The sequence below is a fragment of the Homo sapiens genome, chromosome 20 (assembly GCF_000001405.40).
Source record: "Homo sapiens chromosome 20, GRCh38.p14 Primary Assembly".
Taxonomy (NCBI): domain Eukaryota; kingdom Metazoa; phylum Chordata; class Mammalia; order Primates; family Hominidae; genus Homo; species Homo sapiens.
The window spans coordinates 4,765,284-4,779,662 of record NC_000020.11 but is presented as its reverse complement, the minus strand read 5'-3'; the positions used below and the strand labels follow the sequence as shown (position 1 = coordinate 4,779,662).

The 14,379-nt window shown below is 42.2% G+C and overlaps 1 long non-coding RNA gene across 1 annotated transcript; it reads left to right on the top strand.

Moving 5' to 3' along the window:
- Positions 1-311: 311 nt before the first annotated feature.
- On the top strand, positions 312-1,946 carry LOC105372511 (uncharacterized). The gene is made up of 2 exons (XR_937215.3): positions 312-975; positions 1,109-1,946. It is a non-coding gene; the product is annotated as an uncharacterized LOC105372511 (long non-coding RNA).
- Positions 1,947-14,379: the final 12,433 nt, after the last annotated feature.

The following is a 14,379-nucleotide window of genomic DNA, read 5'->3' as shown; positions in this document are numbered from 1 at the left end:
GTAAAATGGCTAAGCCCCCCTGCAGGGGTTGGGCACCTGGGCTTGCTTCTGTTGGAAGCATCCCCCCATGGCTCCCCAAGTGTGAGATTTTCAGACTAGGGCCCAAGTTCCACCCTATGGTACGGGGAAGGTATGATATCTAATTTTATATGTCAACTTGGCTAGGCCATACAGCCCAGATATTTGGTCAAACACTAGATGTTACTATGAATTTGTTTTTTTTTTTTTTAAGTTGAGATTAACATTTAAATCAGTGGACTTTGAGCAGTCTGCCCTCCATAATGTGGGTGGGCCTCACCCAATCAGTTGAAGGCCTTAAGAACGAAGACTGAGATCCCAGAGAAGAAGGAATTCTGCCTCAAGACTGCCTTTGGACTTGAACTACAGGATCAATTATGTGAACCAATTCCTTAAGCTCTGTCTCCCCACACCCACACCTCTCTCTCTCTCTCTACACACACACACACACACACACACACACACACACACACACACGCACAATCTTTGGAGAACCCTGACTAATACACAGAAATAATTTCATTTGTTCATAAAGTTTAATATGAGATTTGACGGTTGTCTTCCTAAGAAACCTGGCCATGGAGCAGAAATAGTGACCATTATAATTTGGCCTCTAGAAGAAGGTAACAACCAAGACCAGATTTTTAATGATGCTTCTGTAAACAATGCATATATAAGTATGAAAGAGAGAGAGAGATGGGGAAGGAGGGAGAGAGAGACAGAAAGAAAGTGTGGATAAATCACAGTTCCCTTGGAGTGTTGTTTCGATTTCCCATATTTAGAGTTTTTAATTCAAAGAGAGCTTTTCAGTTGCCGCTTTTAAGTTGGGTGAAACAGATGAGCAGTTAACCCTTCCAAGGTAGTGAGACTTTTGTACAGTGCATCATGTAGATGCAGGTGATATACACTGAAGATAAATGGTTCATCTGGAGTCCAACCACGACCCCCCAAAATGCAGTAAGCCTTGTAGGAGTTACAGTGCCTAAAATAACCAAAAAATTCTAATAGCCTTCTGCCAAAGGTGCTGGCAGTTCTTGGCTTGTTTTATAGAAACAGATTTTATGAAGTAATTTGGTATTATCTATTTTAGGTAATGAGGCTATGACTGAATGGAGTTTGCTGTGAGTACAAGACTTCACTGTCAAGTTTTGAAGACATTTGAATAGGTTGCTGAAATGTTTAAATGCAAGAAAACACTGCTGAAAACTGAACTTGAGTAAAATTAACATTGCTATTTTTAGTTTAAAACCATGCAAAATTTTCTGCGGATCATATGGGGGCAGAAAGAAGAAAAGAAGAAATAATGCAAAAAAGAAATTGTGACTTACAGTTTCAGTATATGTTATATAAGTAAGTTAACTTTATATAAGTGATAAATTATAAGTATATGCTTTATAAGTGTATAAGTTAACTTTAGAAGTTTTAAAATGGTAGGTAGGCCCACTGGCAGAGACCATAAGTCCTGGATTGCTTGGGACACTTCCACTTTATTCTGTGGTTATATGTAATTATTAACAGCATCCCCTTTTACTCTCAAAATGATCCAGTATGGATGATAAATATGATCACCCTATGAGTTGGCCAAAGAGCAGCTTATCATAATTTTGATGAGAAGTTTTTAAGCAGCAGCCATAAGTTGGAATTTAAGTGTTAAGTTTAAACTTTAGGAAAAACTGAAATCTAAACATGTGTTTTGACATAATGCAGAATATAATATGGATTTTTGTGTATCAGTGTTTTATTAACCCCGATTTAATTGTTCTTGCATTAGAGCAAGATACATTTTTCTAATTGGAGTTTTAAGCTTGGACTTACTAATTCATAAGCCATAAACATGAATATTATTATTTTTTAATTTAAAAAGTATTTATTTTTCAGTTTTATTGTGGCATAACTGGCAAATAAAAATGACATATATTCAAGGTGTACAACCTGATGATTGTTGTACATACACATTTCGCATATACATTGTGAAACGATTACCACATCACATTAACACGTCCATCATCACACAGTTGCCATTGTGTGTGTGTGTGTGTGTGTGTGTATGTGTGTGTGATGTCAGGACACTTCAGATCTACTGTTTTTTTCTTCATCCAGCCCAAAATGTCAAAGATCTACTTTCTTAGTGAATTACAAGTAAACAATACAGTACTATTAACTATAGTCACAGCACTGTATATTAGATCCCTAGAACTTACCTTGTTACTGAACATTTGTTCTCTGATTTTTAGGATATGACACAAAAAGCACAGGCAACAAAAGCAAAAACAGGCCAGGTGTGATGGCTCATGCCTGTAATCCTAGCATTTTGAAAGGGTAAGGTGGGTGGATTGCTCGAGCACAGGAGTTTGAGACCATCCTGGGCAACACGGCAAAACCCCATCTCTACAAAATATACCCCCCAAAATTAGCTGGGCATGGTGGCATGCACCTGTAGTCCCGGTTACTCGGGAGGCTGAGGTAGGAGGATCGCTTGAGCCCAGAAGGCTGCGGTTGCGGTGGGCCAAAATCACATGCACTCCAGTCTGCGTGACAGAGAGATACACTATCTCAAAGAAAAAAAAGGGCAAAAATAAACAAGTGGGACTACATCAAACTAAAAAGCTTCTGCACAGCAAAGGAAACAATGAAATGAAAAGACAACCTGTAGAATGGAAGAAAATATTTGCAAACCATGTATCTGATAAGGGGTTAACGTTCAAAATACATAAGGAATTTCCACAACTCAATAATTCATGACTTTGAATGTCCCCTGCTAGTCACTAAGCCCCTCTAAGCTGCCCTTGATGCCACCTACCCTCACCTGCAGAGCCATCTATGGGGTCAACAGCACCGAGAGTGGGGTATCTTACAACATCCTTCCCTGGGACAACCCAGGGGTTCTGAGAAGGTAGTTGGTGCCAAACACTGGGACAGATGGAACATGACAGCATGGGTATGTCTTGCTGATGGAAAGTAATTATGTCTCAGAGATGTCTAGGGTATAATTTTGGGAACAAACTACTTAGAACTCCCACACATTGTGGATATTGAATGTCTGGGACTACAAAGAGCCTTGATTCCAAAATGATCCCAAGGAAAGATCTTAATTGATACAGACGTGCTGGGAAGGGAAGAGCATGGTCCCTTTAAATGATACAGAAGTGGGGAAGTGAAGTGCTGGGTAGAGGAGGGCGTGGTCCCTAGCTAGGGCTCTACCCCCACGGACCTAGGTGAGGACAGGCATTTTTGCTTTGCTGTCCAAATGTTGCATTTCCCAAGACCACCCTGGCCTCTCATGCTCCCATCCTATGCCTATAAAAACCCGAGACCCTAGCAAGGCAGGGACAGAAGCGGCTGAAAGTCGAGAGGAGCACGTCAGCGGAGGAACACTTGGGGGCTGGACGTGGGGAGGAGCACATCGGCGGGCACTGGCACGCTGGCAGGCCATGAACTGGCAGAAGGGCATGGAGTTTGGCTGGGGCAGTTGGAGGAGAGCCCGTGGGGTCGAGTGGCCTGACTCCAGGTGAAAATCATCTCCCTTCTGGCACCCCTCCCCCCATCTGCTGAAAGCTACTTCCACTCAATAAAGCCTTGCACTCATTCTCCAAGCTCACCCGTGATGCGATTTTTCCGGTACACAAGGCAAGAACACCGGGATACAGAAAGCCCTCTGTCCTTGCGACAAGGTAGAGGGTCTAATTGAGCTGCTTAACACAAGCGGCTTATGGACGGCGAAACTAAAAGAGCACCCTGTAACACATGCCCGCTGGGGCTTAGGAGCTGCAAACATTCACCCTCTGGACACTGGTGTGGGGTCGGAGCCCCACAGCCTGCCCGTCTGTATGGTCCCTCAGAGGTTTGAGCCGCAGGGCACTGAAGAAGCGAGCCACAGTCCCTATCTCACGCCCTGCGAGAGGGAAAAGGGAACCGTTCCCGTTTCGTAATGTAGTGTTCAACTTCAATCGTTAAAGTTCCTTAGCCAAATATTAACTATAACACAAGTTGTCACAAAAATCACTAAGCAAAAAAGCGAACTATGACATCTATGACCCACTAAAAGAAACCAACAAATAAAAGTTGAATTCAAGTTGGTCATAATAATCTAGAGATAAATTATTAGAAATATAAAATGAATTTTGCAAGGTTGCTAAAACAAGGAAGATACATAAAAATGTATTTCTATGTATTTCTAGGTGTATAATCTAATAAAAGATTAAAAAATAAAATTAAAAAATGGGAAGATATACCTCATTTACGGATTGAAAATTTAACAGATCTCCCCCAAATTATCTAAACATTCAAGTAATCCCAATAAAAAGCCAAGTACATTTTTTTCCTTGCTTTCCTCCTTCTTTGTGATAATGGTATAGGTAAAATAAAAACCGTAAGCATGAATATTATTCTGCTACTGGAAGTGTAATTATCAAGTTTATGTAGAAGGCTGGGCGTGGTGGCTCACACCTGTAATCCTAGCACTTTGGGAGGCCGAGTCGGGCAGATCACCTGAGGTCAGGAGTTTGAGACCAGCCTGGCCGACTTGGCGAAACCCTGTCTCTACCAAAAATACAAAAATTAGCCAGGCGTGGTGGTGGGCGCCTGTAATCCCAGCTACTCAAGAGGCTGAAGCGGGAGAATCACTTGAACTGGGAGGTGGAGGCTGCAGTGAGCCAAGATTGTGCCACTGCACTCCAGCCTGGGCGACAGAGTGAGACTCAGAATGAAATTACATAATAGTTTATGTAGAAACATGGAAAATATTGTTATGTAAAGTAAATAAAATAGTATGTTCAATATGATTGCAGGCCTACATGTAAAGGCTTATGAAAAAAGTTATGTTGGGGTGGTGCTATTAGATTTTCTTACTGCTTCTATTACACTGGCTTTAAAATTAAAATTTCCTGCTTAGTAACTCCAAAAATATTGAGAATCCAAAAACGTATAAACACATACAAAACAAAACAAAACAACAACAACAAAACAACAATGGCCAGAAGATTAAAGCCAGTCAGGCCTTTGTGTCCCTGGTAGGGTCAGTTTTTCTAAGCACTAGACTTCAGAATTCCTAGAAGAATAAGAGGCCCATTATGCAATGGAAATGCAGTCCCATATACCAAAAATCATATATATATGTAATGTAAATACACACATATGTAATACACAGGCAAAATGGAAGGATGGCGTCAATAGTTCCAAGGCCTTTGAGGAAACCAGTCACCATGCCATGCCATCTCGAGTACGCGGGAGCCTGAGGTTAGAGACCTCATGTGAGGAATTGGGAAATTCCCTGTGTTTAGAGTCAGTCACCCTGGACACCAAACACATTTTCAATCTGTACTCTCAATTCTCCTTTCAGAAACTGGACATGCAAAAGTTTTCAAAAGGAGAGAAAAATACACACCATAAATCCTGGAAACCTGAAGTTAGCCAGAATGTGCTGTTAGACAGTTCTACTTTCAGTTTCTTATATTCTGAAGTTCTCTTGATTAGGAATTGGGTACCAGATGCAGTGCCTGATTCACAAACCAAGCCCTTTGCTTGGTGTCTTCTGGATAAATGTGTGCCTTGTCCCGCCTGGGCACATGGGACACTCCTGCTCCCCCAGCCCACCCCGCCCACCCCATGCGCCTGAGGCCTGAGCCAGGAGCTCAGGAGCTGCTCTGCCTTTCGTTCCCATAGAGGCCAGGACACTGGCAGTGAGCATGATTTCTGGGCTGACTCAGATGACTATCAAATAAACTGAATTTAAAAATAGTTCACTCAGGTGCCTACTGGTACCTTCTCAGGATACACACACTAAGTTGACAATAAACAACCCTAAAATAACCCAAATGACTCTAAGGTTCTTAAAATGCCCTTAGAATTCCCCCACCCTAAAAAACCTCAAGGATCCTGAAGATCCCTGTAAACGTCATGCTAGTGGGGTTGACCTCTAAGAAGCATCAGAATCACCCAGGGTTCCTGTGAAAACGCAGACTGCTGGGCCCCAACCCCAGAGTTCCTGATTCAGCAGATGGAGTAGGGCAGAGAATCTGCATCTCTAATATAAAGTTCTCAGGTGATGCTGATGTTTCTGGTGCACTAACTGTTCTAAATGAGCCTAAGGGGAACACTGCAATCACCTGGGGAGTTTTTTTAGAACACTGATGTCTATATTCCATACCAAGAGATTGTGGTTCAATTCTTCTGGGCTGTGGCATTGGCAGCAGAATTTTTAATATTGCCTCTTTCTTACTAACTGATATGGTTTGGCTGTGTCCCCCCCCAAATCTCATCTTGAATCCTAACGTGTTATGAGAGTGACCTGGTGTGGAGGGGCGGGTAATTGAATCATGGGGGCAAGTCTTTCCCAAGCTATTCTCATGATACTGAATGTCTCATGAAATCTGATGGTTTTAAAAAGAGGAGCTCCCCTGCACAAGCTCTCTTTGCCTGCTGCCATCCATGTAAGACTTGGCTTGCTCCACCTTGCCTTCCACCATGATTGTGAGGCTTCCCCAGCTACATGGAACTGTAAGTCCAATTAAACCTCTTTCTTTTGTAAATTGTCCAGTCTCGGTTATGTCTTCATCAGCAGCGTGAAAATGGACTAATACACAAACCTCCTCTCCGACTCCTGTATGCACTGAATTTGAGGACCACTTTACCAACCTTAAAAGATCCTAAATGAATCTAAACAATCCTTAACAATGAAACACAATCCCCTGTAAAACATTTAAAGGTGATAGACAATTAAAATGACAACAATAAAATGACACTAAGATTCCTAAACGCTATTAATCAACCCTAGATGATCCCAGAGGACCCTAAAAGAAGCTAAATAACTTTTAGTGACCATAAACTCTAGAAAAAAATTTAAATGCTGTAATAATTGAAAAAGGTCCTAAATAACCTTAATGAAGTCAAGATATAATAAAAAGGTCTAAATGACAGCAAATGCTACATGACCAGCCACATTCCTACCAACTGTAAACCTAAAAACTTTAAAACCAAATCCTTAACAACAATAACCCTAAATCATCCCAAATGAATTTCAAAAATCATAAATAATAGTAAAAGATCCTAAATAGCCAAAAATATTCTAAATGATCTTTGGTGGCTCCTAACATCCCTAGAGGTTCCTAAACCTTGAATGAGCCAACTTTAAAATCAAAGAACCCAAATGATATTCAGTGACCTAAATGACTGTAAACCTTTTTTTTAAAAAAAATCCCAAGTCCTTATCTAGCCTACCTGGACCTGCTACTGAACCAACCAGGGGTTCAGTCTATGTCCTACTGCTCGCCTCCCAGAAAACCAATCACTGAGACAATGAGCCTTGCCAAGGAAGAAGGCTTTCATCAGGTGCTGCAGCTAAGAAGACGGAAGATCAGTCTCAAATCCATCTCCCTGAGCAACTAAAATTAGGAGTTTATATAGCAGGAAATAAATGTAACCATGTGTGGGAAAACAGGAATTAGCAAGGGGTAAGCAAGAAGAGTTGATTAACGGGAAGCAGGTGGTTGCTTAGACAATCATGATGGGTAAGGGGGTTTTGCCTCTCATTGTCTAGATACAATGATCTGGTGAGTGTCAGATCCTTGATGCTATCTAGAAGGCCTGATAGCTGGTTTCCTGAGAAAGGAACTCAGATAAGACAAGTGTCATTTTCTCAGGTTTTAAGACTGGGAGGATCAATTTCTCTGTTTATTCAAAGAAACCATAAACATCAGCTCTATGGGACAACTGGGTCAGTTTCAGACCTACATGGTCTTCCTCAGGCCTCCTCTTGGGATCAGCTACACTGGCCTTGCTGCTCTTCAAGCATGTCCAGACCTGTCCTGCTTCTGGGACTTGCACTTGCCACTTGGTCTTTTTGGGATACTCTTCACCCAAGCTCATCACATGCTTGCCTCCTTTTTGATTCAGGTCTCAGCTCAACTCTTCCTTCCTAGCAAGGCCTTCCCCGAACACCCAAATCAGCTGCTCTCCTGCCAGCTATCCTCTGCTTCCACACTCTTCTAAGTGCTTTTTTTCAGTCTGAATGTATTCGTTGACTTATGTATCTCCTCCACTAGAACCTAAGCTCTGTGAAGGCATCCCAACCACCTAGAGCAGCACCTGATTCTTGGTAGACACTGTGAAAGGAAAATAAACCTCAGGACCCCCAACTCACTAAGGCAAAGGGAAAAGTCAAGTTAGGAAATGGGTCATGCAAACCTGCTTCCCATTTTGTTCAGAAAAAGATAGCTGCAAAGATAAAAAGAGCTACATACTTCCCTCACAATGTGCCCACAAGGAAATTCCTCGTGGGTCCCAAGATCTTTACCTTAAAAGAGTTCTATTGAATTTCACCCTGACCTTCACACGGATAGGACAAAGGACAGAAGTAAAAGTCATCTCTCTGTCCACCTGACTGCTTCCTCTGCCCTAAGTTTATTTTACCTTATGTAAAAATGCTGATTCACTGAGCATCAGACGAATGCATAAGTGACTATTCCTCTACCCTTTTCTTGCATGTATAATGTGTATTCAGTGAACGCTGATAGAAGAAGACTCAAAAGAATGCAACTGCTTGCCTTTCTCATTGCCCACCCTTTTGTAAAGTTCCTTCCTTTTTCCCGCAATAGTTGCTTTTTTCCCCTTTAAATATTGAGGTCTCCAGATGCCCTTTGGAAAAAGCAAAGGACCACAGATTTTTCCTGAGCTTCTGTGTTCTTTTCCTGGTTGTGTCCTTAACCTTGACAAATAAACCTCTTAAAATGATTGAGACCCATCTCGGTCATTTTCTTTGATTTACAACACCTTGATAATATTTGTGTAGTGAACGAATAAATATCCAAATGTACCATAAACATGAAGACCTCAAACACCAAGTGTGCCAATGCTAACAGCCTCTAAGTCCTGACCCAAACTCACTAACAAGTGTAATCCTTCTTAAAATGAACTTACATGATCCCATGCTATCGAAATCACCTCAAATGGTCCTAAATCCTTTGTGATCCTAAACTACCCAAAGTGGTATAAGACTTCAGACGCTCTTAGAGATTCTGAAGAGGTATAAATTACTCAAAACAACTTTAAATGCTAAATAATCTTCCATGACTATAAATGGTGCCAAGTGACATAAACCACCCCTAAAAAGCTCTAAGCAATCAAAATAGAACCTAAACCTTAAAAATCTCTGTAAGACTTTCAAGACATTTGAACCCTAAACAATCCTAACTCTAAATGCATAAAATATCCTGAATGAATAATTTCAGGATATTCTTTAGAGTCTAAGCACACTAAAGAATCCAATCATTTAAATGACCCTATGGTAATGTATCTAACAACCTTAGAGACCTAATACCTAGAAGTGGCCTCAGATGCCTGTAAACTACCACAGAACTTGAATATGCAAGTTTTGTGATTCTGGAGAGGATCTTGTTAGAACATTGACTCAGATTTAGCAGACCTAGGGTGCGGTTTGAGACACTGCCTTCCTACCAACTCCCAGGGGATGTGGATGCTGCTGATCCACAGGCCACACTTGGAATAGCAAAGCTAGAAGCTATATAAACCCAAAGGATCCTAAGTCAATTAAAACTACCCTAAATTCTAAAACACCCTCAGAGATCCCAGACAATCCTAAATCCTAAACAACTCTAAACATGCTAAAGTTTCTTAAATGATGCTTAAAACCTTAAGCCCCAGATTATCTCACATGACCCTAAACTAACCCAAACAACTCTAAATGACCCTAAGTATCTCGATAGACTCTAAGAGATCTTAAGCCTTATACCTCCCTAAGGGCCCTTAAAAATTTAAACTTGCTGGAAATGACTCTACACCCCAACAGTCCAAAAGACTCTAAAAGATCCAAGAAATCATAATTGCACCTAAAATACCCAAATTATTCTAAACTATTCTAATTGATCCAAAATTATCCTAAACCCAAAGTGGCCTTAAATAGTTGCAAAGGAACCCAAGTCTAATGAACCCAACCTTCTCAGCCTCAACAACATTAATGCTAACTCCAACGCCCTGGACATTAAGGACTCAACAATCCTAAACCCTAACAGGCAATGGAGCAGACACCTCGTCAGTGACCTGTCCTGACCCTCATTATTCCATACCTCAATGACTCATCTGTTACCCAAAGACCAGAGCTCTGTTTGTATACTTGGACTTTAACCTTGATTTAGGGATCCTGTTGGTGTTGCAACAGAAGACCCCAAATTCCAAATGATGATAAATTAATGGATGTTTGACCCTGAACCCCTTGACAATGACAACCCTAAAGGCCTAATTACCACAAACAAATGATCCTGAGCTCTAAACTCTGTGAAGAAGTTGGAGCAGATCCACATACATCGTGACCAGAATCCGAACCCTACATCTCTCTTCTTAATGATCAGATACCTTCACCCTAATAATCCCAATGATACAAGAAGAGTGACAGAGACTACGCTGAGACTTTCTTGTTCCCAAATGTAACTTTGACTATGATCCCAAGGGCTCTAAACTCTAATAACTCCAATCTTAAACCCTAAACCCTAAATAATGATAAAACATTATTAAGATACTCAACTGTGGCTGGGCGCGGTGGCTCATGCCTGTAATCCTAGCACTTTGGGAGGCTGAAGTGGGCGGATCACAAGGTCAGGAGATCAAGACCATCCTGACTAACACAGTGAAACCCCGTCTCTACTAAAAATACAAAAAATTAGCCGGGCATGGTGGTGGGTGCCTGTAGTCCCAGCTACTTGGGAGGCTGAGGCAGGAGAATGGCGTGAACCCGGGAGGCGGAGCTTGCAGTGAGCTGAGATTGTGCCACTGCACTCCAGCCTGGGCGACAGAGCAAGACTCCATCTCAAAAAAAAAAAAAAAGATACTGAACTGTGAGGCTAACTCTGAAACTCCTGATGGACATCATCAGACTCTTCACCACGGCACTCCCTACCCTGGGCCCACGTGCATGCCCATCACCTGAGGATGTTATTATAAAGTAATATGAACTCACATTTCTAAAATAGATTTATTCCACTTTTGAACCGGGATCCAAAAATCCACTTGAGGACCACGAGCCATGTTTTTCTCATTTTAATCACCAAAATTCATCCGGAATTGAGGTAAAAAATAATGCAGATTTGGTGCTTTATGAGATGAAATATAAGTTACCCCTGCAGCAGTAAAGTTGCTCTTCAGGCCAGTGTGACATTAAGCATGTTGAAAAAGAGGGGGGCAAAGTCCCAGGAGTAGCTACTTAAAGGACAAGAATTCATGTGGGATATTATAAATGAATTATGCTCAGGGACAATGACTTAAACTGCTTTATCCCCTCAAGAAGGATGCTCCAAAAATGCATCTCCCAGAAAATTCAAGATCCAGAATACTGTCTTTTTTGGGGGGACATATTGAAAGATAACATTTTAGTTTCAATGGACTATATAAATGAGATTCAAGTCCTGGTAATAAAGATGGGTCTGTGTAATAATTTCTTCATTCAGAATTTGTAGAGGAAGGATATTAAAGCCTACAGACCTGTCACCCCACCAATTCTACTAGCTGAAAGTAGATGCCAAGACGTAATGTTAAGTGAAAATAGTTGGTGAAAGATACATACATGATGATACTATTTATGTATCATACACACACAAAAGTTGATCTTTGTATATATATAAAATCCTTACATATATTAATAGATACATAGATCTCAATAGACTCTAAGAGATCTTAAGCCTTTTTTTTTTTTTTTTTTTTTTAAGATGGAGTTTCGCTCTTATTGCCCAGGCTGGAGTACAATGCTGTGATCTCGGCTTACTGCAATGTCTGCCTCCCAGGTTCAAATGATTCTCCTGCCTCAGCCTCCTGAGTAGCTGGGATTACAGTTGTCTGCCACCATGCTTGGCTAATTTTTTGTGTTTTTAGTACAGATGGGGTTTCACCATGTTGGCCAGGCTGGTCTTGAACTCCTGACCTCAGGTGATCCACCCACCTTGGCCTCCCAAAGTGCTGGGATTACAGGCGTAAACCACTGCACCCGGCCAGATCTTAAGCCTTATACCTCCTTAAGGACCCTTAAAACTTCAGATTTGCTTTAAATGACTCTAAACCCCAACGGTCTTTATATATATATATATAAACCGTTGGAAGGATATAATTGTTAAGGGTTATCGTGAGGCAAGGATGGGGGCTGGGGGTGGCGGCTTTACTTGTGATCAATTAACTTTTTTCAAAACACAGTTTGTCTTTTCTTCAATGATAGACATGCACATGGTTAAGAAAGTCAAACAAAACCAGCTCTCTTTTGCTCCTACCATGCTCTACCTCCCCTTCCTTCCCACGGCCTTCAATTCTTCTAGCTGATTCTTTGGTACTTGCCATCTTATCTGTAAGTAGCATGTTGGTGTTTCTCTTCCTGATTTGCTCATCTGGGGCCTTATCTTTCTCTACCTCCCTCCCCAATTCTTGGGTCTCCGTCCTGCCAATCATAATTTTTGGTTAGCGCACATCTGCCTTTATGTTGTATAATTGTATAAACATGCTCTCTAAAGCTGAATGTATACTGTATTTGGCTTATTTTTCCATTTTTAGCACAACTTTTTGTTTTCCTTGAAGTTAAAAATTGTCCTTCTGTTTGCTTAGGTTTTCAATGTATTTTTCATGAATTCAGCCCATATTTGTCCCAAATTCTCTAAACCTTTCATATGTTCAGTCTCCCCCAGCATTCTATCCATTGTATCTCCTTGAGGACCTGTCTCCGGGGTGACTCTCAGCCTGGTGCTGGTTGTCAGCAGGGGTCTGTCTTCGTCATCTCCTGGGGTTCATGTAGCACACACACACACTCTCTCCATCTTTATTTCCTCTTTCCTGCAAACCACACCTTCCTCTTTTGGACTGACTTTCTGCTACTAGCAGGATTGCAAATTCTGACTTCTCAGGCAATGCTGCCCTGTAGAAGTGAAAGTTCCATGGGATTCAGGAATTCCTGATTTTTCAAGAAAATCCAGAAACCCAGAAACCCAGATTATTATCAGAATCTCTGGTTTTTAAAAACTGTGGTAGACAGGAAAAGATTGTCACTTGTATTGGCTTGTAGGCCACCACTTGGTTATCTCTACTCTAGTTAACTCAGTCTAACTAAAGTTAAACTGGTCCCCCAGGCCATGCCTATATCCTTTTGCTCTATAGTTTGAGATTATTAAGACTTTAGGCCAGGCGCGGTGGCTCATGCCTGTAATCCCAGCAGTTTGGGAGGCTGAGGCAGGCGGATCCCTTGAGGTTAGGAGTTTGCGACCAGCCTGGCCAACACAGCAAAACCCCGTCTTTACTAAAAATACAAAAATTAGCCAGGCACGGTGGCACATGCCTGTAGTCCCAGCTACTCAGGAGGCTGAGGCAGGGGAATCGCTTGAACCCAGGAGGCAGAGGTTGCAGTGAGCCAAGACCGTGCCACTGCACTCCAGCCTGGGCAACAGAGTGAGACTCTGTCGCAAAAAAAAAAAAAAAAAATTATTAAGACTTTAGAAGTCTATATGTTTAGAAGATTACAGAAGAAAACACATGTGTTTCCCCACCCAAAAACAAATGGAGGGGAGCTGCTGGCCTTACAAGATTTGTTGAAGGTTTCTTTAGTCACAGGGGTTTGGCTTGGGGCTTGACATTTGGGGCAGATACTAGTTGTGGAACCTAGGTTTGCCCCCTCCCTGAGATAAAGTTCATTACTCCTGCATCTCCATCATTCCAGCCACTGCAGGTGAGGTGCATGCCCTTGGCTGATAGGGCACAACCCTTCCACCTCAGCAGAACACCCTGGATGTCCCCGGGGCCTGGAAGGTGCGGAGGCAGCAGGGCCTCTCTCCTGAAGTCCCAGCAGGGGAGCACACCTGCCTCAAGGTCTGGCAGGCATTTGGCTGCACAATTGTCCCACAGGCCCATGTGGTCATTTTCGCACACATGGCTATGCATTCCATCACCTTCAAGCCACTGAAACTACACCATGGCTTGGGTCAGCTTTCCAACTCTGCCCCAGTTGCCTCCTGATATGAGAGGGCCAGGAGGGCCATTTGACTCAGGATCAAATTCATGAAGGGCCTTTAATACATGCTTTTGACATTCTCACTAAATGAGATGCAATAGGGTCTTAGCTTGGGCTCCTTCAGAAGCAGACATTAAGGCCAGGAATTGGGCCAGGCGCGGTGGCTCACGCCTGTAATCCCAAAACTTTGGGAGGCTGAGGCGGGCGGATCACAAGGTCAGGAGTTTGACACCAGCCTGGCCAATATGATGAAACACCATCTCTACTAAAAATATAAAGATTAGCCGGGAGTGGTGGTGCGCGCCTGTAGTCCCAGCTACTCAGGAGGCTGAGGCAGGAGAATCGCTTGAACCTGGGAGGCGGAGGTTGCAGTGAGC